Source organism: Homo sapiens, chromosome 1 (genome assembly GCF_000001405.40).
Source record: "Homo sapiens chromosome 1, GRCh38.p14 Primary Assembly".
Classification (NCBI taxonomy): Eukaryota; Metazoa; Chordata; class Mammalia; order Primates; family Hominidae; genus Homo; species Homo sapiens.
The window spans coordinates 237,908,626-237,925,591 of NC_000001.11; the positions used below are offsets into that span (position 1 = coordinate 237,908,626).

Here is a 16,966-nt window from a genome sequence, read left to right on the forward strand (position 1 = left end):
GAAAAATTTCTAGAGATCGAATGTATACCACGGAGACTATAGCTAATAATACTGTATTGTGTACTTGAGGTTTGCTAAGAGAATAGATCTTAAGTGTTTTCACCTCACATAGTTATAAAACTATGTGAGGTGATGGATATGTTCATTAGTTTGATTAGAGTAATCAGCTCACTATGTATATGTATATGAAGACATTCTGTTTGTGTATCTTAAAACTAGGTTAAGTAAGATAAAGACCCAAAAATTTCCATTAGATTTACTGTCACTGGGGTCACTGACAACCTCTATAGGGTTGTTTTGGTAGTGAAAAAGATGTAAGTCAGCTTGAAGAGGACTGAGTTTTGGGAGGTGAGAAAATGAAGATGGCAAGCCAAGAAAACACTGTGATTTTGAAAGTTTTGACTAAAGGAGGGTAGCTAGAACAGTAACTGGTTATAGAGTGAAGTCAATAAGTAGGGAGAGAAGAAAAATACAGGAAAAGAAGAGTTATTTGATAGTGTAAGAATTCTGCATAAGTGTGCGAAAATGGGTCTCAACATAAGTTGAGGAACTGACCCAGGATAAGAAAAGGGACATTTTTTCCACAGTAACAGCAAGAAACAGACATGTTTCAGCTCCAAAGGTATGTAGGTTTGGTGTTGGGAAGTTGAGGCCTCCTAATGATTTATCTGTTCTTGTGATGTATGAGGTGAGGTCATTCATCTACTGAGAGTAAAGGAAATTGGGCAGTACTGGTTTCTAAGTGAATTCTGCTAGTGTTTACACGAGCACCCAGCTAAAGGGTGAGTTGAACACACAGTGCAGTGTTGGATGGTTGGATGATTAGAATAGTGGCAATGTAACATTCTTCATTTCAAAAACTTCCTGACATGGTCACCATTAGTGTTTTATTGCTCCCAACATTTTCTTGGCCTGTAATTATATATTTTCATGAGCAATATACATGTCTAATACAAAAAAGCTAGAATTCCCTTCAAGTTTAATTAATTTTATGATGACAAAGCTCAAAAATTAGATTTGAAAAGTTATTTCCATTATGTAATGTTATAATAGTCTAAAAATGCCTGCAAATATTTTATTTTTATGTTTAAACATGATTAGCAGTTACTGTCAACACCAAAAACTCTTTTCTGAAACCATTGAATTGGAATTAACTTTACAGTGGCATATGTGAAGTTAAGAATACGAGCAATTGATGTTAATGAACAAAATATAACTCGTTTTGAGTTTTTTATTAAAACCATGCCTGTCTTTTAAAAGGGTAAGTAATTAAATGTAAATACCAGTGTTTGAAGGAAAAGTTAAAGTTGAGATGTTCATTGAATAAGAATAATGTATCTCAGAAAGTTTAATTTTTCTTGAACTCTGAATTAAATGAAGCACGAATTATATCAGAATGGTTTTTTTCCTTCCCATTTAACAATTTGTCATTCATGTAGAATATTTATATATTTTTAAATTTATAGCTATTATTTCCCATATGTCTTAATGCAAATGCCCTGAAGTTAAATTGGGGGTTGAACAATCTTTTGTTAATTTGTCCAAACTCATGCCAACACAGAATTACTTTTTGACCAATAAAATAAAATTTTATAAAGATTTTTAGTTTGCTGAGTCCGAGAGTCAACATTTTCTCCAACTTTTTGACATGTTTTTAAAAAGGGGCTTTTATTAGAAGCTGTCAGCAATATGTATAGATTAACTTGTATTAATCAAGCCACTGAAACTCTTTTTACTGGGGAGGAATAAGTGTGTGTCTTTGCAATTTGGTCTATATCAAATAAGACAATGGCTTTAGAAGGATGCTAAAAATAAATTACACTGTGATATATTTTCAAACATGCAGGACCAAGTCAAAATATGGGTTTAGCTGCAAATGGTCATTAAGGTTTATTGAGTATATTGAGCAGTTACTGAGGATATACTAAATCTCCTAAATTTCAGTCACTACACTAGGGGGGTTAAGAAGACAAAAGATGAACACATATTTTGCCTTTAAGAAACTAGAATAATCAATAGATGTTTTATAAGAACAGACAAGAGTTACATGCATACAAGTCACTGAGAGGAATCCAAACTATTTGTTCCACTTGTTCTACCTCTAGCTGAATTCTGTGCAGAGTAGCCAAAAGAGGTTCTTGGTATACTTGTCAATGCCATGTGAACCAGCAGTGTTTGGGATAATGAATTGGATAGAGGGTCAGTTCTGGGCACAGGGGCAGTCAGTATCTTATAGGTGGGGCTTCAGGGAGACCATCAGCCTGTGAGAAGTCCTGCTGTGAGGACTGTTCCCAATAGAGATGCCCTCCAGGTGTGGTGACCAGTACATCATGCCTTGTCATGTCTGGAATGTGAATGCAAACCCTTCACAAAGGCACACTCAGACAGAAACGGGAAATGGCAGAAACCATCCATGAGTCAAGAGAAGCAACAAAGAAGCAACAGCCATGAGATAGAGAGGAGGAGGAAGACACAGGATAAGCCATGGGTGAGGCAGAGCCAGAGAGCCGGAAGAAGCCAAAGCCCACACAGAGGCTGAGGCTCTTAGATGGATCATTTCTAAGGATACTTTTAGAACAAAAAGTAATTTGTAGACCCCTCATTGATATTGCATGCTTTCCAGAGGACTGACTGACCTTAGAGCTGAATTTCTGAATTCAATTAATTTATTGAATATCTTTTACAGTCAGTCTTTCCACCTGGGCTAATATAGCTTGATTTTGTATCTCCGTGGCCATCCATAACATGTAACAGGCTCCCTCATGCATCCTCTGTATCTTTCTAGAGCATTCTGTCTAAAACATAAATGGATCAGGCCAACACACAGGTTTTTCCTTCTTTGACTCTGACTGAAAGTATGTTATCGTAATGACTTCTGGCACAAACTACCCTAAATTAGGCCAGACTTCATAGGTTACAGGCACAGTCCTCCACAGAACTCCCCTCACTTTAGACACCAGCTACATGCTCAGCAGTCTTGAAGCCTCCTGCACTTCTGACCAACTCGATACAAATTTGGAGGTTCTACTTCCCTTTCAGGTTTAATAATTCAGTAGAATAAATTATGGAACTCAGGAAAGTGCTTTATTTTGCCATGGTACACTATACTATGAATTATACTTTTATTATAGCAAAAAAGGATACCAGTCAGAGCCAGCCAAAAGAAGAGGCATAAAATAAGAATCCTAAATGTGAAACTTCTGTGTCCTCTTCCCATGGAGTCAGAATGCATCATTTTTCTAGCACATAATTGTAAAGAATGAGCATAGAGTACTATTAGCCAGTGAAGTTCAACTGAACTTTAGTATCCAGAGTTTTTATTGGAATTTCATAATATAGGAATGATTGATTGAATCCTTGGCCATGGGATTGAAATCCATCTTCATCCCTCCTCTTCTTCCTGGATGTTGGGTAGATATCACATGGCTAAAAGCCATAGTTGGTCTTTCTGGTATGGCCACCTCTACCCTGAGTCATCCCATTAGCATAAACTATCTAGAGACTCAGTATGAATCATCTTGTTGGTATAAACTACCAGGGCTTATCATAAATAACAAAGATACCCCTATCACTCAGGAAATTGCAAATATTTAGGGACATTCTCCCAGGAACTGGGGACAAAGACCAGTCAGGTTCTTTATTATATAGGAGTTATCACATTTTGTTTTTTTAAGATATATTTTAATCTCTTTCATATTTTGTATCTCCTGCCTCTCTGATCTTCAATTTAAGTAATTATTTCAGATCAGTCTTCGCACTCACTAATTCCCAATTCCTTCTTTGGCTGTGGATAACTTACTTTCAACTGAGTTTTTAACTTCAAAGATTATGTTTTTTATTTATATTAGTTTCATTCAGTTTTGAAAATATCTGCCTAGTCATTTTGGATAGCCTATTGTTGCTTGCTGATTTTTTTCTCATTTTAGTTTATTTTAATTATTTTATTTTTTCCTGTCTGTAAGCAAAAGGTTGTCATTTTCTATTCTGTAATCAATAATTTTGTGAACTGTAGTTCTAAGGGTTCTAAATTTATTATCACTTGGTTTTCATTATCATATTTGTTTCCTTGTGGATTTGGTGATCCTTGATTTTGAGTTCTTATTTAGTTGATCCTCATCTGTGGGAATAATGAGAGCTTAAATTGGGGATGTTCTTCTCCAGAGAGGTTTTGCTATTGTATCTCCTGGGATGCTATTAACTTGGGATGATTTCTGTTCCTTTCATTGAATCCATCTTAATTTGGGAGTTCTAGTTTTAGCATCCCTACATTGATGTGGGCCTACAACTTTGATTTGTCAGTTACAGGAGACTTTGAGGAAATTTGGGAAGGGGAAAAGCAGGAATAAAGGGGTTCCTAGATATAGCTTTCACAATGATGTCTCCAAACCTCCCTATATGTCAAATATTATGTCCTCTTTGTCTTTCAGCTATTTTATGTGGACTTGCTGAAAGAAGTTACAAATAATTTCCCTGATGGGGCTGTGCAGGACCATTGGTAGAGATGGGCCAGAAGCAGAGAAACCACAGGTCTTTGACCCTTGCTCTGCCATTTTCCCCACTGGTTTGGAGAAACAGTAAATAATTATCTTATTTGACATAATACATTTTATACTGTGATGTAAAAAATGTTATAAATTACATACAAGAAGTTTATAACAAATTATTTTAAAACCTTACAATCCATCTTTTGTGAAATTAACTGAAAAATATACAGAGTAGGGGATTTAAGGAATGTCAGTTAAGTAACAGAGACATTGCTCTTCCTGCTGGGTTACACCTTGGGGAGGGTCTGAACACAGTATATGGAAGGAGGAAGCTGATGAGGAGGGAGATCCAGCAATTTCAGATCAGGGGACCTAGTCTCATTATGAGCTGGCTCTACAAGACTGCCAAGCCTTTGAAAGCTATGGGCATTTTATACAGTATAGGCTGCCACAGATACAGTGACATCTAACGGCCACCGCATACACAGCATGACCTTGTTGGTGATGGTGGTAGGGTGGAATCAATTTGATGTCATTGAGTTGGGCCTGAATTGAAAATGTATTAATCTCATGGCACCTTGAGAAAATGCCTTTCCTGAAAAAGCCTTAGTATCTTCCTCTGCAAAAATGGGACTGCAACTAGTATTATTACTACTGAACACCTCAATTATTTTATTTTGTAGATGTAATAGGTTTTTTGCCCAAATATATGGCAAGTAATTATAGTGAGGCACCAGGTTGCAGCAGAGAAAGAAGTTTAATTGCAGGGCCACCAAGTGAGGAAATGGGAGGAAACTTCAAATCTATCTTTCTGAGTAGTTTAGGGCTAGGGTTTTTAAGGGTTTTGGAGTGGGCTGAGGTGTGGAGATCACTGATTGGTCCAAGAGTGCAGGATGAAGACACTGTATTCTTATCCTAATTTGATTCCTCTTTGGGGCTCTTTAAACTGGTTGGCATCAGCTGTTCTGCTGGAATTCAGAATCTGCTTAAGCAATTCTTAAATAAAATCCTTATGGTTATACCATCAGAAATCTTATGTTTAGGAACAATGGGGACACAAATGGTCGGTATCTAGTGTTATGTGACTTCTGGTTACAAGGAAGTGCAGCCTGATGAATGCTTAATTATAACTATATTTCTGTCCAGAATTCTTGTTAACTCTGTGAGGACAGTTTCAAAAGGCTTTGAAGAAATAGGGACATTTTAGTTTTTATTATTAATTTGCTGGGGAAAAAATTCCATCTTTGGTGTCTTACATTATTGATTTCTTTGGGTTCCAGTGCTAAAGGCTAACTTCCAAATGTGAATGTAAAACCTGTTAAAATCTTAGCCCAAATACCTTTGCTTAGTTAGCCTTTACAGGGCTTTATCAGTTGCCATCCAGGCCCAATGGGTGTTAGTAGAGGTAGGCATGGAGGAAAGTGGTTCCATACCTTCACGGTAGGAGCCAGGGGGCTTTAAGTGAGGTGGACCCAATCACCTACTTCAACCATCTTGCTTTGATACAACCCTGGAGGCAGCTAACCCTTACCCAAAATCACAGGTCTAAAAATAAATGGAGTAGCAGCTCTTTCTCATTACCAGGCTTCTGTTTGTTTCCACATTTGCCTGTTTATTTGTTTCATTGGCTTTTAGGCAGAGAGCATTCTGTAAAATATTTGGAATAGAAAGAAAGATAGAGCACTGAAAATGCAAAGGCACAAGATATAAATCAGAACTACAATTTCCTTGGTGTTGCTCTTGTTTCCTTATCAATGATGTAGATTCTCAGGCATACTCTCAGAGGCTTGAGAAAGCCCTTCTTAAGGACCTTGAACCTTATTTAACAAACACACAATCCTCCATCACCTGGATTCTGGTTACCAAAGAAATGGAAACTGGGCCAAAAATGTACACAATGCTCATGTGCAAAATCCTAAAAGAAACAGAAGCTGGCAACAAAGGATAAGTTACCCTGATGGGCTCATTTTTTCCTAAACACTCCGTAGTTTAAGAATCATTTTTGTTATTAATTGCTTAAACATGATTTTCAAATTTATATAAACATTAGTTAATATTGACTGGAAAAGACTTAGAATTTTTTTCCATTTAATTAAGAAGCAAAAATACCAGGGTAATTATTAAACAAATCAGTGGAAAGGTCAGAGGCTTTAAGTTACAAATTCTGCAGGCGGCAAGCCACCCAGGCACCGAGGCAAGAGACCAAGGACACGAGCTGTTCCAGTATAATAAAATATAAAACAAGAATAGTTATACCAGATATAGATCTTAGATATGATCATATATGAATATCATTAATCATTAGTTGGCAGTAATTACTCTTTATCCCAATATTATAATAATCCTCACTCTACAATCATAACCTAGGAAAAGCCAGGCCATACAGAGATAGGAGCTGAGGGGACATAGTGAGGTGTGACCAGAAGACAAGAGTGCGAGCCTTCTGTTATGCCCAGACAGGGCCACCAGAAGGGCTCCTTGGTCTAGCGGTGACGCCAGCGTCTGGGAAGACACCCGTTGCCAGGCAGACTGTGGTCTAGCGGTAGCGAAAAGTGTCAAGGAACAACACCCGCTACTTAGCAGACCGGGAAAGGGAGTCTCCTTTTCCCCGGGGGAGTTTAGAGAAGACTCTGCTCCTCCATCTCTCGTGGAGGGCCTGACATCAGTCAGGCTTGCCTGCAGTTATCCGGAGGCCTAACCATCTCCCTGTGATGCTGTGCTTCAGTGGTCACACTCCTAGTCCGCCTTCGTGTTCCATCCTGTACACCTGGCTCTGCCTTCTAGATAGCAGTAGTAAATTAGTGAAAGTACTAATAGTCTCTGATATGCAGAAATAATGGCGTAAGCTGTCTTTCTCTCTGTCTCCTCTCCCTCTCTGCCTCGGCTGGCAGGCAGGGAAGGGCCCCCTGTCCAGTGGACACGTGACTCACGTGACCTTACCTATCATTGGAGATGACTCACACTCTTTACCCTGCCCCTTTTGCTTTGTATCTGATAAATAACAGTGCAGCCAGACATTCGGGGCCACTACCGGTCTCCACGCATTGGTGGTAGTGGTCCCCCGGGCCCAGCTGCCTTTTCTTTTATCTCTTTGTCTTGTGTCTTTATTTCTACACTCTCTAGTCGCGGCACACAGGGAGAGATCCACTGACCCTGTGGGGCTGGTCCCTACATCTGGCGATCTGACGTGGGGCTCTCCCTCGCTGTGTGAAGTTGCACCCTGAGTGTGGGATCAGCAGAGGAGTTCAACGAGATATTCCTGAGGATTGCGGTCAATAAACTTGGTGGTAAGCTACAGCGCTCAGAGTATTCTGGGGACACCATGGGACAGGCCAGTACAAAGTACTCAGCTTATTTAAATTTTATAAAAACTCTTCTTAAAGAAGGAGGTGTTAAAGTTTCTACTGAAAAGTTAATTGAAGTATTTGAGGTTGTAGATCTTCTTTGCCCTTGGTTTCCGACTGAGGGAACTTTAGAACTTAAAGGTTGGGTTGAGATTGGCCAACAATTCAAAATTGCTCATAAGGGGGGACATTTTATCCCACCCACCATTTGGTCAATCTGGGCTTCAGTTCGCTTTGTCTTAGACTCCTTACAGACTCAGGAGGACAACATGGAGACTGATCCCTCTTTCCTCTCCTCTGAGGAGGTCGAGGAAGTTCTCAGTTCTTTTTAACCTGAGGATACTGCACAAATTGAGAACATAATTTCACAGGAGGACTTCCACTCTGACATGCCTGCGCCACCGCCACCTACGCCAGAGGCTACCACACCCCCGTTGTCGCTTTATGATGATCTTTTAACTGACCTAAATACACTTATTTCCCCAACCAGCAAAACTCAGTTGAAACATATCAACAGCCATTGCAGCCAGACCCTCCTGTCTCTCCTCACTCTTTCAACGCTGCCGCCGTGCAAATAGCAGACGCGATCAGGCAGCCTGAAAACGAGTCTATAAATTATGTTTCTATGTAGCCCGATACAGAGGCTCCGCTATCTGAACAGCCCAGAAAAGAGGCTTCCAATTCTCGGCCAGGTAATGAGGCCCTCAATCCTATTTCTCCTAATCGGACTCAGTTAGAGTCACAGACTACCTGGAAGCCTGGCTCCTTTCCTGCAAATCGGACTCAGAGTCACAGGCTCCCTGGAAGCCTGGTCCACTTCCTACAAATCAGACTCGGATAGAGTCACAGGCTCCTTTGAAGCCTGGATCCTTTCCTCCTACTCAGACTTGGCTAGAGTTACAGGCTCCCTTGAAGCCTGGTCTGCACTTGCCGTGGCAGCCTGGTTTTCAGGCCCATGAAAGACCTGCTCAGCAGGTAATCTGGTCTCAACCTGGCTTTCAGTTTTTCAACTCTCCTTCTATTCAAAATTCTACCCCTTTTTCTGCTCCTGGTCCAGTCGCGACTGCTGTTGCCAATACTACCATTGCTGCTCATAAGCAACAAATTACATACATCCCTGAAGACGACACTCCGCTTATGAGGGCTATAGTTCAGGCAAGGGAATATGGGGATCCCGAAGCCTGGCAATTTCCTGTAATTTTACAACCTCCAGTACCTGCCACCCCAACAGTACAAAATCACCCACAGCCTGTTGTTGATCCTGCCCAGCAGGCGGCTGACCCCGCAGCTCAACAGGATCAAGAGGCTGATAATCAAGCCCCTCAGCCCGAAACTCAGGCTGCTCAGGGAAATAATCAGCCTCCGCAATTGCCGGCTCCTGGGGCACAGCCAATACCTGGCATTCCCGCTGTTCAGGCGGTAGTTCAGCCTGACCCCATACATCCAGGTCAGGTTCAGCTACGCCCTGCTACTTGGGAAAGTTTTTCTTTTAAATTCCTCAAAGATTTTAAGGAATCAGTGAAACAATATGGCACCAACTCTCCTTTTGTCCGTTCCACATTAAAAGGCTTAGCAGAAGATAAACGTTTGGTGCCCTATGATTGGGAAATTTTAGCAAAATCAGTCTTATCTAAATCCCAATATTTACAGTTCAGGACTTGGTGGGTTGATGCTGTCCAGGAACGCATTCATCTTAATCAGGGCTCCAATCCTCCTGTTAACGTTACAGCTGACCAGTTACTGGGAATGGGTCAATGGGCTGCAATCCGACACCAAACTATACTAAATGATGAGGTTGTTGAACAACTGCAAAAATGTTGCTTAGATGCTTGGGACAAAATTCAAGATGATGGTAAAGTATGCCCATCTTTCACAGCTGTCAGACAGGGACAACACGAACCCTACCCAGACTTCATTGCTCGTCTTCCAGACGCAGCAGAAAAGGCTATTCCTGATAGCCACGGCCAAAGACTTGTTGTAGAACTTATGGTTTATGAACAAGCAAATCCAGATTGTCAGGCGGCTATTCGCCCCGTCAAAGGCAAAATTCCACTTGGTGGTGATATACTCACCTCCTACGTTAAAGCCTGTGAAGGGGTGGGAGGAACTCTGCATACAGCAATGATTATGGCACAAGCTATGGCCTCTATTCTAATGCCTGGACAATTCTCTGGCCAATGCTTCCTATGCGGCCAGAAGGGACTTGCAAAAAGAAATTGCCCTCGGCGTGCAGGTCGCAGTCCTTTACATCACCAACAACAACAACAAAAAACTTTTCAGCAACAAGACGCCCCACCTTCTACTGTATGCCCACGATGCCAAAAGGGCTTTCACTGGGCATCTCAATGCCATTCCAGATTTGATATTGATGGCAATCCTTTACAGCCTTTTAAAAATCAGGGAAACGGGATGAGGGGCCGGCCCCAGGCCCCTTTAAACAATGGGGCATTCCTCAACTCTCAGCCCCTGGCGTCCAGCCAGACGGGAGCCTTCCCAGTTCAATCCATTCAACCTCCACCCCAATTCCCACTTCAGCGATGTAGGGACCAGCCCCACAAGGTCGATGGGTCTCTCCCCGTGTGCCGCGACGAGAGAGTATAGAAATAAAGACACAAGACAAAGAGATAAAAGAAACGGCAGCTGGGCCCGGGGGACCACTACCACCAATGCGTGGAGACCGGTAGTGGCCCCGAATGTCTGGCTGCGCTGTTATTTATTGGATACAAAGCAGAAGGGGCAGGGTAAAGAGTGTGAGTCATCTCCAATGATAGGTAAGGTCACGTGGGTCATGTGTCCACTGGACAGGGGGCCCTTCCCTGCCTGCCAGCCAAGGCAGAGAGGGAGAGGAGACAGAGAGAAAGACAGCTTACGCCATTATTTCTGCATATCAGAGACTATTAGTACTTTCACTAATTTACTACTGCTATCTAGAAGGCAGAGCCAGGTGTACAGGATGGAACACGAAGGCGGACTAGGAGTGTGACCACTGAAGCACAGCATCACAGGGAGACGGTTAGGCCTCCGGATAACTGCAGGCAAGCCTGACTGATGTCAGGCCCTCCACGAGAGATGGAGGAGCAGAGTCTTCTCTAAACTCCCCCGGGGAAAAGGAGACTCCCTTTCCCGGTCTGCTAAGTAGCGGGTGTTGTTCCTTGACACTTTTCGCTACCGCTAGACCACGGTCCACCTGGCAATGGGCGTCTTCCCAGACACTGGCGTCACAGCTAGACCAAGGAGCCCTTTTGGTGGCCCTGTCTGGGTGTAACAGAAGGCTCGCACTCTTGTCTTCTGGTCACACCTCACTATGTCCCCTCAGCTCCTATCTCTGTATGGCCTGGCTTTTCCTAGGTTATGATTGTAGAGTGAGGATTATTATAATATTGGGATAAAGAGTAATTACTACCAACTAATGATTAATGATATTCATATATGATCATATCTAAGATCTATATCTGGTATAACTATTCTTGTTTTATATTTTATTATACTGGAACAGCTCGTGTCCTCGGTCTCTTGCCTCGGCGCCTGGGTGGCTTGCCGCCCACAAAATTTAATTCATTTGAATATCTCCCCTCTAAGAGCTCATTCTTGCAATTATTTTTTACAAACATCTTGGAGATATTTTCCTTTGTAAAAATCCTTTCTGTTTATATTAATGAAAACCTGTTGTTTCGAGTCTGATGGGAAGATCCCAGAAAGTGAGAATCACTGAGAGGTTGCCTGGCTCCTTATTAATCAGGTTTTTTTGGGAAGTATTGGCACATTCCAATTTTCTTAATAATTTAGGACAAGTCCAACCTATTTGAGTGTGTCAACAAAGAAGAAATGTGATATTAAAAAAAGAAAGAAAAAAGATGTGAGGTATTTTGTATGCCTAGAAACAGCACTAAGACATTTACTGACATCAACAGCTTCCAATTCTGACAGTGTTAGAAAGGGAATTTTCAATGGCTGCTTTGAAATAACCCAGAAGACATTTTACACCACAATGAAATCTGCATTCTACTATGTCAGTAACATCAGACAAGATGAGATAAGACAGCAGAGCACAGCCCAGCACATCCCGGCACAGCACAACACACCTCAACACGGCACAACACAACACGCTGCTTCTTCAATTTAAAGCATACACTTCAGCCTAAAATGCAGACTTCCAAGTCCATTAACCCACTTGAGATGAGCAGGGAGACTGCATGCTGGGTGAGCAATACCAACAGAAAGCAACCGTGAGTCAGTTCTTTGAAATGGAATTGATCTTTTCAGTATGCTACCACCAATGTTTTGGAAATGTCCAGGCTAGCAATAGAAAAGAAAAATAAACTAAAAGAAATCAAAATGTTAGTTTGTGTTTACAAATAAATCATGGTTGTTTAGAGAAAAAGTTGACAGCTGGGACTGAGGGGCTCTCTGGAACCTCTTCGCAGACCTTGAGGATGTTGCAGGAAGAAGAGAGAGGGCCTCGTTTGGGAGCTGTTCACCTCTGTCCTAATACAGGGCACCAGGTCCTGTTCCAATGGCAGACAGCATGGGAAGCCATTAATGTGCCTGAGTTCTGCAGTCAGACAGCTGGTGTTGGATCCTCTAACCAACTCTGTGACTGGACAGGTTAGTTAACCTCTTTGAGTCTCAGTTTCTTCCTCTTTAACATGGATATAACAGTACATACTTCACAGGTTTGTTATATGTATGCAATTATGTATGTATAAAACACAGTACTATCTGTTCTTTGTGATAATCATGATTCTAACTATTACAGTGATTATTTTAGCCTTTCTTCTAATGATTTGACAGGAGTTATAGCCTCTTTCCAAGTGAATTATGAAGAGCAAGAGCAAGTGTGGATAATATGGAAGCTCATTCCAGGTAATAAGGAGTGGTGAATATCACATTCATTTTAGTCTAGCCTTTTGGCCACAAGATATTCCTGGACAAATATCATGAAGCATTATCCTAAAGTTGGTTGTAGTTTCCCATAGGAACACTATTATAATTTAATTCCACAAATATGAATTAAGTACCATGATGCCCCAGGCATTGTGCCAGGGCCTGGCTAGTTATAAGGAAGTATAAGATGCTGCTTCCTGCTCAAGGATTCACAATCAAATGAGAAGAGGAAGCCCAGAAACTAGGAAACTTAATACAAGTAAGATTCTGGTGAGTGGGATCAAGTCCAAGGCTGCTTCTGAGGTCAGTCTGCCTGGGTTTAAATCTCAGCTCTACCTCTTATGACATGTGTTTTTCTAACATTTCTGCATCTTGTTTTCCTTTGTGAAATTGGGATTAATAAAAATATTCATTTTGTGAGGTATTGGAAGGATTAAATAAAGTGATTTCTGTAGGGTTTAAGATGCTGGCTTGTCACATAGTAAACCTTGTAATGTTAGATCCACCATTTTTATTCAGTTGGAGCACAGAGAAAATACTAATGCATTTTAATGGGGAGAATAAGGAAACTTCTTTGGTTAGATTTTTTTTTTCTTTTTTAAGTCAGGTATGGTAAGATCTTGAATAGTGGAAGAAGATAGACCAAAAAAGGAGACAGAGAGACAGAGAGAGAGAGAGTGATAGAGACAGAGAGAGAGAGAGAGAGAATAGAAAAAAACATCATCTGCAGAGGGAACTGCTCAGAATGGAGAGTATTCTGCCTATTGAGGGAACGGCAAATAATGTTTAACTAGTAACAGAGCTCCAACTGGACTGGAGGGGAGGGACAGCAGGGCAGTTTGGGTCAGAGTACAGAGACCTCCTTCAATGTGTGCCCTAAAGCTGCTTTCCTATCCATGGATTCAACCTCAATGAAGGAGACCTGTATGCTGGTTAAAGGAAAGATAGCACAACCATAAGCCTATGATTATTTAAAATGTTAAAATAAACTGAGCACAGTGGCTCACACCTGTAATCCCAGCACTTTGGAAAGCCAAGGCAGGAGGATTGCTTGAGCCAGGAGTTCAAGACCAGCCTGGACAATGTAGTGAGACCCATCTCTACAAAAAAATTGTAAAAATTAGCCAGGCGTGGTGGCCTGTGCCTATAGTTCCACCTACTTGGGAGGTTGAGGTGGGAGGATTGCTTGAGACCAGGAGGTTGAGGCTGCAATGAGCTGTGATTGCACCACTACACTCCAGCCTTGGGCAACAGAGTGAGATCCTGTCTGAAAAAAAAAATGCTAAAATGCAGTGCCAAATCTTACAACATGGGTATAATTCTACCTTAATTATATAAGATGACCTCAAATATTATGATGTACCAAATAGGCAAAATAACAACAAATAGAACTAAAGCTTGTGCTAATATTAAAGCTGTAATGAGAATTTGTCTGGTAGAATTTAGAAGGACTTTGCCAGGTATGATTTATATATGTATATAAAAATGACCTGTGACATTAAATGGCCAAAATAATAATCATTCCTTTGATTTCAGATATATCCTGAAATATTTGAAGCAAATATATATATTTGATATATTGATATATTTGAGGCAAATATGTCATTTACCTCAAAAGTAGACACTACAGAAGGGAATTGCTGGGTCATATGATAACTCTGTTAATATTTTGAGTATTGTCTAACTCTTTTCTAAAGTGTCTGCACCATTTGACACCCCCACCATCAAAGTATGAGGGTTCCAATTTCTCTACATCCTTATCAACATTAGTTATTGTCTATCTTTTTTATTGTAGCTACCCTGATGGGTGTGAAGTGGTATCTCATGGCTTTAATTTTTCTTTCCCTAATGACCAATGATATCAAGCATCTTTTCATATGCTATTTGTCATTTGTATGTTTTCTTTGGAGAAATGACTATTCCAGTCTTTTGTCCATTTTAAAATTGTGCCACTTTTTTAAGGTCGAATTGTAAGTGTGTGGGTTTGTTTTTTTTATCTTTGGATGTATTGTACATATAATTCACTTTTCTGGTATATGTTTTGCAAATATTTTCTCCCATTCTGTAGGTTGTCTTTTCACTTTCTTGATGGTGATGGTATTTGAAGCTAAAAAGTTTAAAAACTTTTGATGATATTTAGTTTACCTTCTTTTTCTGTTGCTTGATTATGGCTTGTACTTGTGCTTTCAGTGTCAGAGCTAAGATACCATTGGCTGATCCACAGTTATGAAGATGTATCCATGTTTTCTTCTAAGGGTTTTTATAGTTTTAGCTCTTACATTTGGGTCTACACATTTTTTAGTTAATTTTTGTATATGGTGTGACATAGGAGTCCAACTTTTTTCTTTTTCATGGGGATATCTAGTTATTCCAGTATCATTTGTTTAAACAACTGTTCTTGTTCCCCCTGAATTGTCTTGGCAGCCTTGTCAAAAATCAATTGACCATAAATGTGAGGATTTATTTCTGGCATTTCTATTTTAATCCATAGATCTATATGTCTATCTTCATGCCAGTACCAGTAAGGTCTTGATTACTGTATCTTTGTAGTAAGATTCGAGATCAAAAGATGTGATTCCTCACACTTTTTTTTTTCTTATTCAATATTTTCTGGCTATTAAGGTTCTGTATTAGTTGGGGTTCTCTAGAGGAATAGTATAGATGTATATATGAAGGGGAGTTTATTAAGGAGTATTGACTCACACAGTCACAAAGTGAAGTCCCACAATAGGCCGTCTGCAAGCTGAGGAGCAAGGAAGCCCAACCAAGTCCCAAAACCTCAAAAGTAGGGAAGCCAACAGTGCAGCCTTCAGTCTGTGGCCAAAGGCCCATGAGCCCCTGGAAAACCACTGGTGTAAATCCAAGAGTCCAAAAGCTGAAGAGCTTGGAGTCTGATGTTCGAGGGCAGGAAGCACCCAGCACGGGAGAAAGATGAAGTCCAGAAGACTCAGCAAGTCCAGTCCTTCCACTTTCTTCTGCCTGCTTTTATCCTGTCTGTGCTGGCAGCTGATTAGATGGTGCCCACCCCCAGTTTGAGGGTGGGTCTGTCTCTCCCTGTCCACTGACTCTATTGTTAATCTCCTTTGGCAACACCCTCACAGACACACTCAGGAACAATACTTTGCATCCTTCAGTCCAATCAAGTTGACACTCAGTATCAACCATCACAGCTTCCTTGCATTTTAACAGAAATTTTAGGACCAGCTTGTCAATTTATGCAAAAAAGCAACCTGAAATTTCGAAAAGTATTGCATTAAATCTGTGGATCAATTTGGAGCATATTGCCATCTTAACACCATTAAGACTTTTAATCCATGAATATAGAAGGTCTTTACATTATTTAGGTCTACTTTAAATATTTCATTGACATTTTGTAGTTTTCAGTGTATAAGTCTTGCATTTCTTTTGTTAATGTATTTTATTCTTTCTATATTATTGTAAACAAAATTATTTTCTTAATTTTATTTTTTGGATCCTTTAATGCTATTATTCATAAATACAACACATTTTTCTCTTTTGTTGTTATATCCTACTGTCTTGCTAAACTTGTTTATTAGTTCTAATAATTCTTTTTAGTGAAGTCCTTAGAATTATCTGTATTCAAGATGTCACATACAAATAGAGATAGTTTTACTTCTTCCTTTCCAATATGGATATCTTTTATTTCTTTTTCTTGTCTAATTCCCCTGGCAAGAAACAATTAGATGTAATTTTGATAATATCTATGTACTTTGTCTATGATAATATCAGGCTACTTTCAAATTAAATATTTTGTTTTACTAGACTTTACCTTGGCTGCTGGCTTTTCAAGCATCAGAGATATATAATAGTCAAGCTGCAGAAAGGCAGCCCTGCCAGAGATTTCCATGCAGCATCAGATTGAGACAAATAGAATGAGAATTTAGTCCTCTCTACCCCAGTCTACTTTGAAGATTAGGTAGAAATACAAAGAGAACAGCTAGTGGTTACTGAATGCTTGCTATGTGCAAGGTACTAAGCCAAGAGCTTTTGTCAATAATCTTATTTCTCAAGATAAATCAATGATAGATAAGATTAATATCACAATTTAATACAGAAAGCCAAGTTCAGAGGGACCAAACAAGTTGTAACAAATTATATGGCTAGAGATTGTGGCTGTATGAATAAACAAATGTATGCATGTGAGTGTTTTCCAGAGAGAACAGCGTTATTACCTAAGAGGAACCTTCTACACTAAGAAAGTCTAGGATTTTCTATAAGAAAAAAGAGGCTGTC

The 16,966-nt window shown here is 40.2% G+C and overlaps 1 pseudogene across 1 annotated transcript in view; it reads left to right on the top strand.

The window, feature by feature from the left end:
• LOC100130331 (POTE ankyrin domain family, member F pseudogene) overlaps positions 1-16,966 on the top strand; it is a 66,147-nt pseudogene that overhangs the window by 46,451 nt on the left and 2,730 nt on the right. The window contains exons 9-11 of the transcript NR_027247.2: positions 7,608-7,771; positions 12,253-12,433; positions 12,620-12,691. The product of NR_027247.2 is annotated as a POTE ankyrin domain family, member F pseudogene (transcript). The remainder of the gene's footprint in view (positions 1-7,607; positions 7,772-12,252; positions 12,434-12,619; positions 12,692-16,966) is intronic.